Source organism: Homo sapiens, chromosome 4 (genome assembly GCF_000001405.40).
Source record: "Homo sapiens chromosome 4, GRCh38.p14 Primary Assembly".
Classification (NCBI taxonomy): Eukaryota; Metazoa; Chordata; class Mammalia; order Primates; family Hominidae; genus Homo; species Homo sapiens.
Window position 1 is genome coordinate 110,416,261 of NC_000004.12, and position 18,269 is coordinate 110,434,529.

At 40.3% G+C, this 18,269-nt stretch overlaps 1 non-coding gene and 1 pseudogene across 1 annotated transcript; one reads left to right on the forward strand and one right to left on the reverse strand.

Moving 5' to 3' along the window:
* Positions 1-2,441, forward strand: ZNF969P (zinc finger protein 969, pseudogene; annotated as a pseudogene).
* A 14,407-nt stretch (positions 2,442-16,848) lies between these two features.
* On the reverse strand, positions 16,849-16,928 carry LOC124900892 (small nucleolar RNA U2-19). Its single transcript, XR_007058530.1, has one exon. It is a non-coding gene; the product is annotated as a small nucleolar RNA U2-19 (small nucleolar RNA).
* Positions 16,929-18,269: the final 1,341 nt, after the last annotated feature.

Below are 18,269 nucleotides of genomic sequence, written 5' to 3' on the forward strand. Positions count from 1 at the left end.
AATTCTCAGTGGAGGAGTGGAAATGCCTGTACCCTGTGCAGAGGCCTTTATACAGGGACGTGATGTTGGAGAACTACAGGAACCTAGAGTCTGTGGATAGCTCTTTAAAATCCATGATGGAGTTCTCATCAACAGGGCAAGGCAATGGGGAAGTGTTCCACATAGGGATTTTGGAAAGACATGAAAATCATCACACTGGAGATTTTTGCTTCCCAGAAACCGAGAAAGATATTCATGACTTTGAGTTTCAGTGGCAAGAAATGGAAAGAAATGGCCATGAAGCACCCATGACAGAAACCAAAGAGTTAACTGGTAGTACAGACTGACATGATCAACGGCATGCTGGAAACAAGCCTATTAAAGGTCAGCTTGGATTAAGCTTTCATTTGCATCTGCCTGAACTGCACATATTTCAGACTGAACAGAAAATTGGTAATCAAGTGGACCAGTCTATCAATGATGCTTCCTCAGCTTCAACATCCCAAATAATTTCTTGTAGGCTCAAAACCCATCTTTCTAATAAGTATGGGAAGAATTTCCTCCATTCTTCATTATTCCCACAAATACAGGAAGTACACAAGAGAGAAAAACCTTTCCAATGTAATGAGTATGGCAAAGCCTTTAATTATAGCTCACACTTAAGGAGACATCACATAACCCATTCAGGAGAGAAATAATGTAAATGTGATGTATGTGGCAAAGTCTTTCATGAGAAGTAATACCTTGCATGCCACCATAGAGTTCATACTGGAGAGAAACCTTACAAGTGTAATGAGTGTAGCAAGACCTTCAATCAGAAGTCATCCCTTCAATGCTGTCATAGACTTCATACTGGACAGAAACCTTACAAATGAGAAGAATGTGACAAAGTTTACAGTTGCAGATCACAACTTGAAACACATAGGAGAATTCATACTGGAGAAAAACCATACAAATGTAAGGTTTGTCACAAGGCTTTCTGGGATAATTCATGCCTTTCACACCTGAAGAGTTCATACTGGAGGGAAACCTTATGAGTGTAAGGTTTGTGACAAGGTTTTCTGGCATGATTCATGCCTTGCACAACATCAGAGAGTTCATACTGGGGAGAAACCTTACAAGTGTAATAAGTGTGGCAAGACCTTTGCTCAAAATTCAGGTCTTGTAATGCATAAGGCATTTCATAATGGAAAGAAACCTTACACATGTAATGAATGTGGCAAGGTTTTTAGTCAAAAAGCAAATCTTGTATGTCATTATAGATGTCATACTGGAGAGAAACCATAGAAGTGTAATGAGTGTGGCAAGACCTTCACTTGAAATTCAGCCCTTGTAATTCATAAAGCAATTCATACTGGAGACAAATCTTACAAGTATAATGACTGTGGCAAGGTTTCTTTTTTTTTTCTTTTTCTTTTTTTTTTTTTTGAGACAGAGTCTCACTCTGTTGCCCAGGCTGGAGTGCAGTGACGCGATCTTGGCTCACTGCAACCTCCACCTCCCAGGTTCATGCCATTTTCCTGCCTCAGCCTCCTGAGTAGCTGGGACTACAGGTGCCCACCAACACGCCTGGCTAATTTTTTGTATTTTTGGTAGAGACGGGGTTTCACCATGTTGTCCAGGATGGTCTCGATCTCCTGACCTCGTGATCCGCCTGCCTCGGCCTCCCAAGGTGCTGGGATTACAGGCGTGAGCCACCACACCCAGCCGAATGTGGCAAGGTGTCTAATCAACAATCAAACCTTGCACAACATCAGAGAGTTCATACTGGAGGGAAACCTTACAAGTGTAATGAGTATGGCAAAGCCTTTAGTGGGCAGTCAACACTTATTCATCATCAAGCAATCCATGGTATAGGGAAACTTTACAAATGTAATGATTCTTACAAAGTCTTCAGTAACGCTACAACCTTTGCAAAACATTAGAGAATCCATAATGAAGAGAGATCTTACAAGTGTAGTAAATGTGGCAAATTTTTCAGATATCGATCATACCTTGCAGTTGATTGGCGAACTCATACTGGAGAGAAACCTTACAAATGTGATGATTGCGGCAAGGTCTTCAGTCAAGCTTCATCTTATGCAAAACATAGGAGAATTCATACAGGAGAGAAACCTCAAGTGTGATGATTGTGGCAGTCTTGACTTCACTTTCACACAGGATTAAACATCAGAGAATCTATACTGGACAGAATCTTAAAAATGTCGTAAGTGTGGCAAGGTCTTCAGTCCGAGGTCAATCCTTGCAGAACATCAGAAAATTCATTTTTGAGATAATTTTTCCAAATACAATGACTATAGAAAATCATAAAGCTTTAATTGACATTAGAGCCAATTCAGCATTGACTTGAGATTGAGTTGACAACATTGAGTTCAAGCATTATTGACATTAAAGTGTTTATGTTAAGAAGATTAGGCCGGGTGGGGTGGCTCACGCCTGTGGTCCCAGCACTTTGGGAGGCCAAGGCTGACAGATCACAGCCACACCTGGCTACGAGGGGGTGGAGGCCGCTGTGGGGCAGGGGCCTGGCTAGAATGGACGGGACCTCGAACAGGATCTGGGCGCGGCAAGAATGGGGAGGCTGCTTGGGGGCCGGGCAAGCAGAGGGAAGGGGCGGGGCCAGAGGGTGATCGTCATCTTGGGGGCGAGGTCTGGAAGGGGTGTCTGAAGGGCAGGGCCTGGAGGGGGCGGGTCCTGGCTTTCTCCTCAGTTGGGCCCCAGATGTCGCCTGCTGTCATCCTCTTGCCCTGCAGGACTGGATCCTCCGGATACTGATTGGTGGACTGTTACTGATGTGCTGTGATATTACCCCTAATATCACAGGGATGCTTCATCCGTTTTAAGTTAATATTTCAAACAATCGAAGGTAAAACAACATATTTATTGGGCAACCTGTAATGAACGCTGAATCGTTTTTCCTCTTAAGTTGAAAATGGTTTTAATGCAAAGTGCCTTTTCTGAGCAGGTAGAGTCACGCATCCTGCAGGCAGTGCAAGCTCCCCTCCGTCTGGGGCAGGGCGGGGCGGAGGGGCAGGGACCTCGGTAAAGGGGTGGAGTGGGGCACTGGTTGCAGCAGGGACTGACAATTAGAACGGCTTATTAAGCAAGGTCCTGGGTTGTTTGAGTGGATAATGGAAACTGAACGGTGACATGCAAAACTGCCTACTACACAAAGGAAGTGAAGGACAATTTTATATTTCATGGAAATAAAGTCAGGGCCCGGAGCAGTGGCTCGCGCCTGTGATCCCAGCACTTTGAGAGGCTGAGGCAGGAGGATGGCTTAAGCCTAGGTGTTTGAGATCAGCTTGGGCAGCGTGGTGAGACCTCATCTATACTAAAAAAATAAAATAAAAAAAAAAATAAGCCAGGTGTGGTGGTGCACACCTGTGGTCCCAGCTGCTCGGGGCACTGAGGTCGGAGGATCGCTTAAGCCAGAAAGTTGGAGGCTGCAGTGAGCTCTGATCTCGCCACCACACTCCAGACTGGATGACAAAGCTAGACCCTGTCTCAAACAAACAAGCAAATAAATGAGAGGTTTATTTAAAATAAACCTTTAAAAATAAAGGAAGAGATTTTCTTTCCTTTTGTCTCTTTTCTTAGCACACTCAGAAAATTTGTAAATGCATTTTCTCTGACTTCTGAGGTGTGTGTGTGTGTATGTGTGTTTTTTTTTTTTTTTTTTTTTTTTTTTTTTTACGGAGTTTTTCTCTTGTTACCCAGGCTGGAGTGCAAGGCACGATCTTGCCTCACCACAACCTCCTACTCCTGGGTTCAGGCGATTCTCCTGCCTTGGCTTCCCAAGTAACTGGGATTACAGGCATGAGCCACTATGCCTGGCAAACTTTGGTTTTTTGAGAAACTAAATCTTTTTTCAGCTTAATGACCCAGGGAAGTATTTCTGAAAGACTTGGGAGCTCTCTTTGGAAGGCAAACAACAAAGGAGACAGTACCTTTATCTAGAAGAAATAGATAAATTCCTGGACACATACACCCTCCCAAGACTAAACCAGGAAGTAGTTGAATCCCTGAATAGACCAATAACAGGCTCTGAAATTGAGGAAATAATTAATAGCCTACCAACCAAAAAAAGTCCAGGACCAGAAGGATTCACAGCCGAATTCTACCAGAGGTACAAGGAAGAGCTGGTACCATTCATTCTGAAACTATTCCAATCAACAGAAAAAGAGGGAATCCTCCCTAACTCATTTTATGAGGCCAGCATCATCCTGATAACAAAGGCTGGCAGAGACACAATAAAAAAAGAGAATTTTAGACCAATATTCCTGATTAACATCGATGAGAAAATGCTAAGTAAAATACTGGCAAACCGAATCCAGCAGCACATCAAAAAGCTTATCTACCAAGATCAAGTTGGCTTCATCCCTGGGATGCAAGGCTGGTTCAACATACGCAAATTAATAAATGCAATCCGTCACATAAACAGAACCAAAGACAAAAACCACATTGATTATCTCAATAGAAGCAGGAAAGGCCATTGACAAAATTCAACAGCACTTCATGCTAAAAACTCAATAAACTAGGTATTCATGGAATGTATCTCAAAATAATAAGAGCTATTTATGACAAACCCACAGCCAATATAATACTGAATGAGCAAAAACCGGAAGCATTCCCTTTGAAAACTGGCACAAGACAGGGATGCCCTCTCTCACCATTCCTATTCAATATAGTGTTGGAAGTTCTGGCCAGGGCAATCAGGCAAGAGAAAGAAATAAAGGGTATTCAATTAGGAAAAGAGGAAGTCAAATTGTCCCTGTTTGCAGATGACATGATTGTATATCTAGAAAACCCCATCATCTCAGCCCCAAATCTCCTTAAGCTGATAAGCAACTACAGCAAAGTCTCAGGATACAAAATCAATGTGCAAAAATCACAAGCATTCCTATACACCAATGATAGACAAACAGAGAGCCAAATAATGAGTGAACTCCCATTCACAATTGCTACAAAGAGAATAAAATACCTAGGAATTCAACTTACAAGGGATGTGAAGGACCTCTTCAAGGAGAACTACATGCTCAATGAAATAAAAGAGGACACAAACAAATGGAAAAACACTCCATGCTTATGGATAGGAAGAATCAATATCATGAAAATGGCCATACTGCCCAAGGTAATTTATAGATTCAGTGCCATCCCCATCAAGCTACCAATGACTTTCTTCACAGAACTGGAAAAAACTACTTTAAAGTTCATATGGAACTGAAAAAGAGCCCACATTGCCAAGACAATCCTAAGCCAAAAGAACAAAGCTGGAGGCATCACACTACCTGACTTCAAACTATACTACAAGGCTACAGTAACCAAACAGCATGGTACAGGTACCAAAACAGAGATATAGACCAGTGGAACAGAACAGAGACCTCAGAAATAACACCACACATCTACAATCATCTGATCTTTGACAAACCTAACAAAAACAAGAAATGGGGAAAGGATTCCCTACTTAATAAATGGTGCTGGGGAAACTAGCCATATGTAGAAAGCTGAAACTAGATCCCTTCCTTACACCTTATACAAAAATTAATTCAAGATGGATTAAAGACTTAAATGTTAGACCTAAAACCATAAAAGCCCTAGAAGAAAACCTAGTAAATACCATTCAGGACATAGGCACGGGCAAATGCTTCATGACTAAAACACCAAAAGTAATGGCAACAAAAGCCAGAATTGACAAATGGGATCTAATTAAACTCAAGAGCTTATGTACAGCAAAAGAAACTACCATCAGAGTGAACAGGCAACCTACAGAAAGGGAGAAAATTTTTGCAATCTACTCATCTGTCAAAGGGTTGATATCCAGAATCTACAAATAACTTAAACAAATTTACAAGAAAAAATCAAACCACCCCATTCAAAAGTGAGCAAAGGATATGAACAGACACTTCTCAAAAGAAGACATTTATGCAGCCAACAGACACATGAAAAAATGCTCATCATTTGATGACCATCAAATAGTCATCAGAGAAATGCAAATCAAAACCACAATGAGATACCATCTCACACCAGTTAGAATGGCGATCATTAAAAAGTCAGGAAACAACACATGCTGGAGAGGATGTGGAGAAATAGGAACACTTTAACACTGTTGGTGAGACTGTAAACTAGTTCAACCATTGTTGAAGACAGTGTGGCTATTCCTCAAGGATCTAGAACTAGAAATACCATTTGACCCAGTGATCCCATTACTGGGTATATACCCAAAGGATTATAAATCATGCTGCTATAAAGACACATGCACACGTATATATTGCGGCACTATTCACAATAACAAAGGCTTGGAACCAGCTCAAATGTCCATCAATGATAGACTGGATTAAGAAAATGTGGCACATATACACCATGGAATACTATGCAGCTAGAAAAAAGGATGAGTTCATGTCCTTTGTAGGGACATGGACGAAGCTGGAAACCATCATTCTGAACAAACTGTCACAAGGGCAAAAAACCAACCACCACATGTTCTCACTCATAGGTGAGAATTGAACAATGAGAACACTTGGACACACCAGGGCCTGGCATGGATCGGGGATGGAGGAGGGATAACATTAGGAGAAATACCTAATGTAAATGATGAGTTAATGAGTGCAGCAAACCAGCATGGCACATGTATACATATGTAACAAATCTTGTGCACATGTACCCTACAACTTAATGTATATATATACACAAAGAATGAGTTTAAGAATAGAAATTTCTAGAAATTAGTTGGCAATCTGCAACTGGGATTTCAGCAGTAAAGACTGAAAATGTCAAAGTTAGGATAATCAATTGGACAGAATATTTGATGTTATTAGAGTGAATGATAAGTTTGATGATAAATTTATAGATATGAAAAGAGCTAGATGGCCATAAATTATCTTTGGGAAGAAGAGTTGGAACTAGAGGAAGAGAGGTCAAGGAAGATTCACAATAGTCTATGCATCATTATAAATGTGCACATGTCCTCATAATCAGGCAGTAATGTTTGAAGATACAGGTGAGTGCCTGAAATGAAGAAATACAACTTTTGCTAAAACATGCTGACCAAAAATAAAAATAAAAAGAAGAAGGCTGGTTGCGGTGGCTCACGTCTGTAATCCCAGCACTTTGGGAGGCTGAGGCAGGTGATCATCTGAGGTCAGGAGTTCAAGACCAGCCTGGCCAACATGGTGAAACCCTGTCTCTACTAAAAATAAAAAAATTAGCTAGGCATAGTGGCACATGCCTGTAATCCCAGCTAGTAGTGGGGCTGAGGCAGAAGGATCGCTTCAACCTGGGAGATGGAGTTTGCAGTGAGCCGAGATCATGCCACTGCCCTCCAGCCTGGCCACAGAGTGAGACTCTGTCTCAAAAAATAAATAACTAAATAAATAATAAAATAAAATAAAAGGAAAAGAAGAAGAAGAAAAAGAAAAGAAAGACAAGAGGAAAAAGTCTTTGGTCCTAACAAAGCACTGAGTAGGCATGAGGTTTGATAGTCGATATCCATTGAATTTAACCCTTAAGAAAATTTTTTGTGGCTTTCAACACTGCTGGTTCATCAGAGGAGTAGATGGGTTACAAACCATCTTGCTGGGAATCAATAGGAAAGTGAATGATGCGAAAGTAGAGAGAAATCCTGTGAGTTTAGGAGTGAAAAGAAGGAAAGACTCCATATGGTAGCCAAAAGGGATGAGAAGGGGAAGGGAAAAGAAATATGCAATCTATGGAGATAGAGAGATGGAAGCATATTATCAGGGAACAGTTGAGGTAAGATCACAGGGCATTCACATAATCAAGTGGAGTTAACCTTTGAAATGTTAGCCTAAAATAGTAATAATCTTTAAATATTTACTTATTTGGCAGAATGATTAGCTTAGAAGAAAACTCTTTGTTAAAAAGCAACTTCTCTGTTTCTGGAATTCATCATTATTTTAAATAAAGGTAGACTGTAACTAGACCAAGTTATAAATGTGTTGGTGTTAAAAGGTGTGATATTACCTTATTAATTTGAATGACTGGCGCTGATTTCCTCCAATTTAAAAATTTTATTTAGCTAGTTCTAACAATCCCCAGGGAGTCTTGTTTTGCTTGACAGCTGCCTCTGATGCTGGCACACAGTGACCTCTTTCCAACCTTCTGCATCCAGCCTTTACGAGAAGGGGAGCTAACAAACTAATTAGACTGGTAGCTTAAAAAAATATCAATCTTGGTACACACCCAGGCCAAAAAGTCTTACATGTACAAAAACAGAACATTTGTGTCTGCCCAACTGTCCAATACTGCTAGCCTCAGGCTTTTATCTTACACTTAAAAACTGGTTTTATTTTGCACTTTGGCATACTGTATAGAAGTTTGACACATTTGTAGGATAAAAACTGCATTTGAAATGATGAGATCTACATTGGGAAAATTATGTGTGAACAAATTTGGAGATATAACCGAATAATTTGTCATTGATGGAAATGTGCAAGCTCTGCCTCCCGAGTTCAAGTGATTCTCCTGCCTCAGCCTCCCGAGTAGCTGGGACTACAGGTGCACACCACCATGCCTGGCTAATTCTTGTATTTTCAGTAGAGATGGGGTTTCACCATGTTGGCCAGGCTGGTCTCCAACTCCTGGCCTCATGCAATCCACCCGCCTTGGCCTCCCAGAGTGTTGGGATTACAGCCATGAGCCACTGCACCCACCCAAAAATGGGTTAATTTCTTGTACCACATAAAGAAAAAAAAAAACATGTATTAATAGTTGGCTTGTGAAAGATGGTATTTTCTGCCCAGCTCCTGGTAGAATTTTTTTTGCTGAACATGACTATCATGTCAGTGGGGTTTTAGTTATCAGTGCCAGAAGGGAAGTCAAAGATAAGGCACAATATTTCTCAATCCACTGGTCACCTGCATCAGAATTACTCAAGATGTTGTTTAAAAAAATACAGCTTCCTGCTGGGCTCATGCTTGTAATCCCAGCACTTTGGGAGGCTGAGGTGGGTGGATCACGAGGTCAGGAGTTCGAGACCAGCCTGGCCAGTATGGTGAAACCCTGTCTCTACTAAAAATACAAAAATTAGCTGGGTTTGTTGGCATGCGCCTGTAGTCCCAGCTGCTTGGGAGGCTGAGGCAGGAGAATCGCTTGAACCCGGGAGGCGGAGGTTGCAGTGAGCAGAGACAGTGCCACTGCACTCCAGGCTGGGCAACAGAGCAAGGCTCTGTCTAAAAAAAAAGCAGATTCCAAGTTTTCATACTGGCTGTACTGAATCTCTGCAGGAGGTTCCTGATAATTTACTATTTTAATAAGCACTTAGGTGTTTCTTATGAAAACCAAAGTTTGAGAACTAGATTTTGAAACATACAACTATACTTAGCCTCAGTACTGTTTAGAGGGAATAAAAATTGGCGTATCCTTTATAATGTGCCCACTTTTCATGCAATCTCTTTACCAGAATTTAAAATGTACGCATCCTTTGACACAGCCATTCCATTTCTAGGAATTTATCTAACAGAATAATTGAGTAAGTGTGCAAGGACATATGTTAAAAAAACTATCCATTACAAAATTGGCTATTGTAGGAGAAAAGTGGTAATAACTTAAATGCCTACCAAGGAATGTTGTGTATCAAATACTGTTCTAAGCACTTCAAAAGCAGTTAAGTCATTTAATCCTCATAACATTATATAGTAATAGAATATAAAACATATATTAAAATATAATCTTAATAATATTATTATCCCTCAATTTACAGATGACAAAGCTGAGGCACGGAACAATTAAGTACTCATCCAAAATCACACTGCTGTACGTGGCACAGCCAGGACACAAAGCCAGGTAGTCTGGCTCTAGAGTCTGTGGGCTTAATCCTGCACTATTTGCCTCTCTCAACATTCTGCTGCCTTCACATAATCATTAAATGTATTTTTAACTTACAAAAATTAAATTTAAAACATGAATGAGCTAGTATAGGTGGCTTTCTTTTTCTTTTTCTTTATTTATTTTATTATACTTTATGTTCTGGGATACATGTGCAGAACATACAGGTTTGTTACACAGGTATACAAATGCCATGGTGGTTTGCTGCACCCATCAAACCATCATCTACATTAGGTATTTATCCTAATGCTATCCCTTCCCTAGCCCTCCACCATGTGAAAGGCCCCGGTGTGTGATGTTCCACTCCCTGTGTCCATGTGTTCTCATTGTTCAACTCCCACTTATGAGTGAGAACATGTGGTGTTTGATTTTCTGTTCCTGTGTTAGTTTGCTGAGAATGATGGTTTCCAGCTTCATCCACGTCCCTGCAAAGGACATGAACTCATACTTTTTATGGCTGTGTAGTATTCCATGGTGTATATGTGCCACATTTTCTTTACCCAGTCTATCATTGATGTGCATTTGGATTGGTTCCAAGTCTTTGCTATTGTGAACAGTGCTTCAGTAAACATACATGTGCATGTGTCTTTATAGTAGAATGATTTGTAATCCTTTGGGTGTATACCCAGAAATGGGATTCGTGGGTCAAATGGTATTTCTGGTTCTAGATCCTTGAGGAATCGCCACACTGTCTTCCACAATGGTTGAACTAGTTTACACTCCCAACAGTGTAAAAGTGTTCCTATTTCTCCACATCCTCTCCAGCATCTGTTATTTCCTGACTTTTAAATGATCACCATTCTAACTGGCATGAGATGGTATCTCATTGTGGTTTTGATTTGTATTTCTCTGATGACCAGTGATGATGAGCTTTTTTTCATATGTTTGTTGGCCACATAAATGTCTTTTTTTGAGAAGTGTCTGTTCATATCCTTCGCCCACTTTTGAATGGGTATTTTTTTCTTGTAAATTTGTTTAAGCTCTTTGTAGATTGTGGATATTAGCCCTTTGTCAGATGGATAGATTGCAAAAACTTTCTCCCATTCTGTAGGTTTCCTGTTCACCCTGATGATAGTTTCTTTTGCTGTGCAGAAGCTCTTGAGTTTAATTAGATCTAATTTGTCAATTTTGGCTTTTGTTGCCATTGCTTTTGGTGTTTTAGTCATGAAGTCTTTGCCTATGCCTATGTCCTGAATGGTATTGCCTAGGTGTTCTTCTAGGGTTTGTATGGTTTTAGGTCTTACGTTTAAGTCTTTAATGCATCTTGAGTTAATTTTTGTATAAGGTGTAAGGAAAGGTTCCAATTTCAATTTTATGCATATGGCTAGCCAATTTTCCCAGCATTATTTATTAAATAGGGAATCCTTTCCCTATTTCTTGTTTTTGTCAGGTTTGTCAAAGATCTGATGGTTGTAGATGTGTGGTGTTATTTCTGAGGTCTCTATTTTGTTCCATTGGTCTATGTATCTGTTTTGGTACCAGCATCATGCCGTTTTGGTTACTATAGCCTTGTAGTATAGTTTGACGTCAGGTAGGGTGATGACTCCAGCTTTGTTTTTTTTGCTTAGGATTGTCTTGGTTATATGGGCTCTTTTTTGGTTCCATATAAAATTTAAAATAGTTTTTTCTAATTCTGTAATGAAAGTCAATGGTAGCTTGATGGGGATAGCATTGAGTCTATAAATTACTTTGGGCAGTATGGCCATTTTCACGATATTGATTCTTCCTATCCATGAGCATGGGATGTTTTTCCATTTGTTTGTGTCCTTTTTTATTTTCTTGAGCAGTGGTTTGTAGTTCTCCTTGAAGAGGTCCTTCACATCCCTTGTAAGTTGGATTCCTAGGTATTTTATTCTCTTTGTAGCAATTGTGAATGGGAGTTCACTTATGATTTGGCTCTCTGTTTGTCTATTATTGGTGTATAGGAATGCTTGTGATTTTCGTACATTGATTTTGAATCTTGAGATTTTGCTGAAGTTGCTTATCAGCTTAAGGAGATTTTGGGCTCAGATGATGGGGTTTTCTAAATATACAATCATGTCATCTGCAAACAGGGACAATTTGACTTCTTTTGTTCCTATTTGAATACCTTTATTTCTTTCTCTTGCCTGATTGCCCTGGTCAGAAATTCCCATACTATGTTGAATAGGAGTGGTGAGAGAGGGCCTCTTTATCTTGTGCCAGTTTTCAAAGGGAATGCTTCCAGCTTTTGCCCATTCAGTATGATACTGACTATGGGTTTGTCATAAATAGCTCTTATTATTTTGAGATACATTCCATCAATACCTAGTTTATTGACAGTTTTTAGCATGAAGGGGTGTTGAATTTTATTGAAGGCTTTTTCTTCATCTATTGAGATAATCATGTGGTTCTAGTCATTGATTCTGTTTATATGATGGATTATGTTTATTGATTTGCATATGTTGAACCAGACTTGCCTCCCAGGGATGAAGCCGACTTGATGGTGATGAATAAGCTTTTTGATGTGCTGCTGGATTCAGTTTGCAAGTATTTTATTGAGGATTTTCACATCGATGTTTATCAGGGATATTGGCCTGAAATTTTCTTTTTTTGTTGTGTCTCTGTCAGGTTTTGGTATCAGGATGATGCTGCCTTATAAAATGAATTAGGGAGGATTCCCTCTTTTTCTATTGATTGGAATAGTTTCAGAAGGAATGGTACCAGCAACTCTTTGTACCTCTGGTAGAATTCAGCTCTGAATCCATCTGGTCCTGGGCTTTTGTTGGTTGGTGGGCTATTAATTACTGCCTCAATTTCAGAACTTGTTATTGGTCTATTCAGGGATTTGACTTCTTCCTGGTTTAGTCTTGGGAGGGTGTATGTGTGCAGAAATTTGTCAATTTCTTCTAGATTTTCTAGTTTATTTGTGTGGAGGTGTTTATAGTATTCTCTGATGGTACTTTGTATTTCTGTGGGATCAGTGGTGATATCCCCTTTATAATTTTTTATTGTGTCTATTTGATTCTTCTCTCTATTCCTTCTTTATTAGTCTGGCTACCAGCCTATCTGTTTTGTTGATCTTTTCAAAAAACCAGCTCCTGGATTCGTTAATTCTTTTGAAGGGGTTTTGTGTCCGTATCTCCTTCAGTTCTGCTCTGATCTTGGTTATTTCTTGTCTTCTGCTAGCTTTTGAATTTGCTTACTTTTCCTTCTCTAATTCTTTTAGTTGATTTTAGATCTTTCTTTCTTTCTCTCATGGGCATTTAGTGCTAAAAATTTCCCTCTAAACGCTGCATTAGCTGTGTCCAAGAGATTCTGGCATGTTGTTTCTTTGTTCTCATTGGTTGCTAAGAGCTTATTTATTTCTGCCTTAATTTCATTATTTACCCAGTAGTCATTCAGGAGCAGGTTATTTACGTTTCCATGTAGTTGTGTGGTTTTGAGTGAGTTTTTTAATCCTGAGTTCTAATTTGATTGCACTGTGGTCTGAGAGACTGTTTGTTAGGATTTCCATTGTTTTGCATTTGCTGAGGAGTGTTTTACTTCCAATTATGTGGTCAATTTTAGAATAACTGTGATGTGGTGCTGAGAAGAATGTATATTCTGTTGATTTGGGGTGGACAGCTCATCTACGAGCTGCTTGGTCCAGAGCTGAGTTCAAGTCTTGAATATCCTTATAAATTTTCTGTCTCATTGATCTGTCTAATATTGACAGTGGTGTGTTAAAGTCTCCCATTATTATTGTGTGGGAGTCTAAGTCTTTTTGTAGTTCTCTAAGAACTTGCTTATGAATCTGGGTGCTTCTGTATTGGTTGCATATATATTTAGGATAGTTAGTTATTCTTGTTGCATTGATCCCTTTACTATTATGTAATGCCCTTCTTTGTCTTTTTTGATCTTTGTTGGTTTAAAGTCTATTTTATCAGAGACTAGGATTGCAACCCCTGCTTTTATTTTTTTGCTTTCCATTTTCTTGGTAAACCTTCCTCCATTACTTTATTTTCAGCCTATGTGTGTCTTCGCACATGAAATGGGTCTCCTGAATACAGCACACTGAGGGGTCTTGACTCTTTATCCAATTTGCCAATCTGTGTCTTTTAATTGGGGCATTTAGCCCATTTACATTTAAGGTTACTATTGTTATGTGTGAATTTGATCCTGTCATTATGATGCTAGTTGGTTGTTTTGCCCATTAATTGATGCAGCTTCTTCATATTGTTGATGGCCTTTACAATTTATGTTTTTGCAGTGGCTGGTATGGGTTTTTCCTTTCCATATTTAGTGCCTCCTTCAGGAGCTCTTGTAAGGCAGGCCTGGTGGTGACAAAGTCTCTCAGCATTTGCTTGCCTGTAAAGGTTTTTATTTCTCCTTCACTTATGAAGCTTAGTTTGGCTGCATATGAAATTCTGTGTTGAAAATTCTTTTCTTTAAGAATGTTGAATATTGGCCTTCACTCTCTTCTGGCTTGTAGGGTTTCTGCAGAGAGATCTGCTCTTAGTCTGATGGGCTTTCCTTTGTGGGTAACCTGATCTTTCTCTCTGGCTGCCCTTAACATTTTTTCCTTCATTTTAACCTTCATGAATCTGATGATTATGTGTCTTTGGGTTGCTCTTCTAGAGGAGTCTCCTTGTGGTGTTTTCTGTATTTTCTGAATTTGAATGTTGGCCTGTCTTGCTAGGTTGGGGAAGTTCTCCTGGATAATATCCTGCAGAGTGTTTTCCAACTTGGTTCCATTCTCCTCATCACTTTCAGGTACACCAATCAAATGTAGGTTTCATCTTTTCACATGGTCCCATATTTCTTGGAGGCTTTGTTCGTTCCTTTTCATTTTTTTTCCCTCTAATTTTGTCCTCACACTTTATTTCATTAAGTTGATCTTCAATCTCTGGTATCCTTTCTGCCACTTGATTGCCTTGGGTATTGATACTTGCGTATGCTTCATGAAGTTCTCGTGCTGTGTTTTTCAGCTCCATCAGGCTATTAATGTTCTTCTCTAAACTGGTTATTCCAGTTAGCAATTCCTCTAACATTTTTTCAAGGTTCTTAGCTTCCTTGCATTGGGTTAGAATATGCTCCTTTAACTCAGAGGAGTTTGTTATTACCCACCTCTGAAGCCTACTTCTGTCAATTCATCAAACTCATTCTCCGTCCAATTTTGTTCCCTTGCTGGTGAGGAGTTGTGATCCTTTGGAGGAGAAGAGGTATTCTGGTTTTTGGAATTGTCCACCTTTTTACACTGGTTTTTCCTCATCTTCATGGATTTATCTACCTTTGCTCTTTGATGTTGGTGACCTTTGGATGGGGTTTCTGTGTGGACGTTCTTTTTGTTGATGTTGATGCTATTACTTTCTGTGTGTTGTTTTCCTTCAGGCCCCTTTGCGGCAGGTCTGCTGGAGTTTGCCGGAGGTCCACTCCAGACCCTGTTTGCCTGGGTATCACCAGCAGAGGCTGCAGAACAGCAAAGATTGCTGCCTTTTCCTTCCTTTGAAAGCTTCATTTCAGAGGGGCACCTGCCAGATGCCAGCCAGAGCTCTCCTGTATGAGGTGTCTGTCAACCCCTGCTGGGAGGTGTCTCCCAGTAAGGAGCCACGGGGGTCAGGGACCCACTTGAGGAGGTAGTCTATCCCTTAGCAGAGCTTGAGCGCTGTGCTGGGAGATCTGCTGCTCTCTTCAGAGCTGGCAGGCAGGAATGTTTAAGTCTGCTGAAGCTGCGCCCATAGCTGCCCCTACCCCCAGCTGCTCTGTCCCAGGGAGATGAGAGTTTTATCTATAAACCCCTGACTGGGGCTGCTGCCTTTCTTTCAGAGATGCCCTGCCCTGAGAGGAGGAATCTAGAGAGGCAGTCTGGCTACAGTGGCTTTGCTGAGCTGCGGTGGGCTCTGCCCAGTTCAAGCTTCCTAGTGGCTTTGTTTACACTGTGAGGGGAAAACCCCCTACTGAAGCCTCAGTAATGGTAAACGCCCCTCCCCCCACCAAGCTTGAGCATCCTAGGTCAACTTCAGACTGCTGTGCTGGCAGTAAGAATTTCAAGCCAGTGGATCTTAGCTTGCTGGGCTCCATGGGGGTGGGATCCTCTGAGCTAGACCATTTGGCTCCCTGGCTTCAGCCCCCTTTCCATGGGAGTGAATGGTTCTGTCTCACTGGCATTCCAGGTGCCACTGGGGTATAAAAAAAAACTCCTGAGCTAGCTCGGTGTCTGCCCAAATGGACACCCAGTTTTGTGCTTGAAACCTAGGGCCCTGGTGGCATAGGCACCTGAGGGAATCTCCTGGTTTGTGGGTTGTGAAGACTGTGGGAAAACCATAGTATCTGGGCTGGAATGCACCGTTCCTCATGGCACAGTCCCTTACTGCTTCCCTTGGCTAGGGGAGGGAGTTCCCTGACCTCTTGTGCTTCCTGGGTGAGGCAATGCCCCACCATGCTTCGGCTCACCCTCCATGTGCTGCATCCACTGTATAACCAGTCCCAGTGAGATGAGCCGGGTACCTCAGTTGGAAATGCAGAAATCACCTGCCTTCTGCTTTGATCTTGCTGGGAGGTGCAGACTGGAGCTGTTCCTATTTGGCCATCTTGCCAGCCACCTAGACATCTTTTTCTTAATTAGAAATGTTATTTTCTATTCAATCTTTCTTTTACTCTACCACAAAGCAATAAGGTTTCTTTTTTGAAATAAATAATATTTGAAAAAAATATGTTTGATATGATCATGTTCATGTAGAAATGTGTATTTAAGTCTGCATTTTAAAATTAAATAATTTTTAAGAAAAGATTAGGCCTTAGAAGCGGGCACACAAAGTTGAAGATAGTGGTCTGTGAGTGAGGTTCTGAGTGTTTTCTATTTTCTGCCTTTTGCTTGTCTATGGTTCCTTTTTATTTTCCCACTAATGAACATATTTTGTTCCTGTAAAATGAAAAACACAACAGCAATATGTGAATGTGCCTACCATGCAAATATGTATAAAGTTTATGCTTTTGTAAGAGTTGCTTTTAAGGATAAATAGAGGAAATCACAAATAGAGGTCAGGGAAAATATATCTTCTTACACTGTTTTATAGTTTTGCTTCTTAAAACTGTAGAGCTCATGCATCAAGTAGACTGGAAGGTCTTCTGATACTCAAATTTGGGTATTTTCATCCTTGATCCACTTCAATAAGAGCAGATCTCAGAGAACAAATAAACTTTTCTATTCCAACATTCTCCTTCCTGCAATACTAGTCCACTGTGTTTCTTGCCTGCCAGTCTTCTCAGCTAGGTTTCTTTTTCATGAGCAAATGAGTATAGGTGGCTTTCCTTTTTCTTAATTAGCAATTTTATTTTGTATTCAATCTTTCTTTTACTCTACCACAAAAGAATAAGATTTCTCTTTTGAAATAAATAATGTTCTTTGCCTCATCTATTAACTGGATGTGATACATTTATTTCATGAAGTTATCTTGGGTCCTTCAGGGAAGCCACCTTTATTCAGAACAATCTGAATTATATGCATTGATAAACCAATCAGTTGTGATTCATCCAAGGCGATAGAATTTACAAGGGCTTCAAGGTGGCTGTCACACTAAACTCTGGGCAATGTTAATGTTGGGCTAACTGAAAATTATAACTAGGACATTTCTTGAACTTATTTTCCATTAGCACAGGCAGGTAAAATTGGTTCTCTTCATTTTATAAACGTCATTCTTCAAAAAGAATCTGGTAGTACAAGATGACTTGCTTGCTTTCTGAATATTTTAATTCTGGATTGTTATATGTTTTGCTGGTAAGTTATTTAAGTTATTTTAATTGATCATATTGTTTTTAAAAATGAGATTTTAAAAATATTTTTATTTTTTCTTAATTTGGGGGGAACATGCACAGGTTTGTTTCAAGGGTATATTGTGTGATGCTGAGGTTTGAGCTTCTATTTATCTGATCACCCAGATAGTGAACCAAGTGCCAAATAGAAAGTTTTTAAAGCCTTGCCCCTCTCCCTCTCTCCTTTTAGAGTTCCCAGTGTCTATTGTTCCCATTTTTATGCATGTGTATAACCAAGATTTAGCACTCACTTATAAGTGAGAACATGTGATATTTGATTTTCTATTTCTGTATTAATTCGCTTAGGATAATGGCTTGTAGGTGCATCTGTGTTGCTGCAAAGGACATAATCTCATTCTTTTTTTTTTTTTTTGAGATGGATTCTGACTCTGTCGCCCAGGCTGGAGTGCAGTGGCGCTATCTCAGCTCACTGCAGGCTCTGCCTCCCGGGTTCACACCATTCTCCTGCCTCAGCCTCCCGAGTAGCTGGGACTACAGGTGCCCACCACCACGCCTGGCTAATTTTTTGTATTTTTAGTAGAGACGGGGTTTCACCATGTTAGCCAGGATGGTCTCGATCTCCTGATCTTGTGATCCACCCACCTTGGCCTCCCAAAGTGCTGGGATTACAGGCGTGAGCCACCATGCCTGGCCGATCTCATTCCTTTTTTATGGCTGCATAGTATTCCATG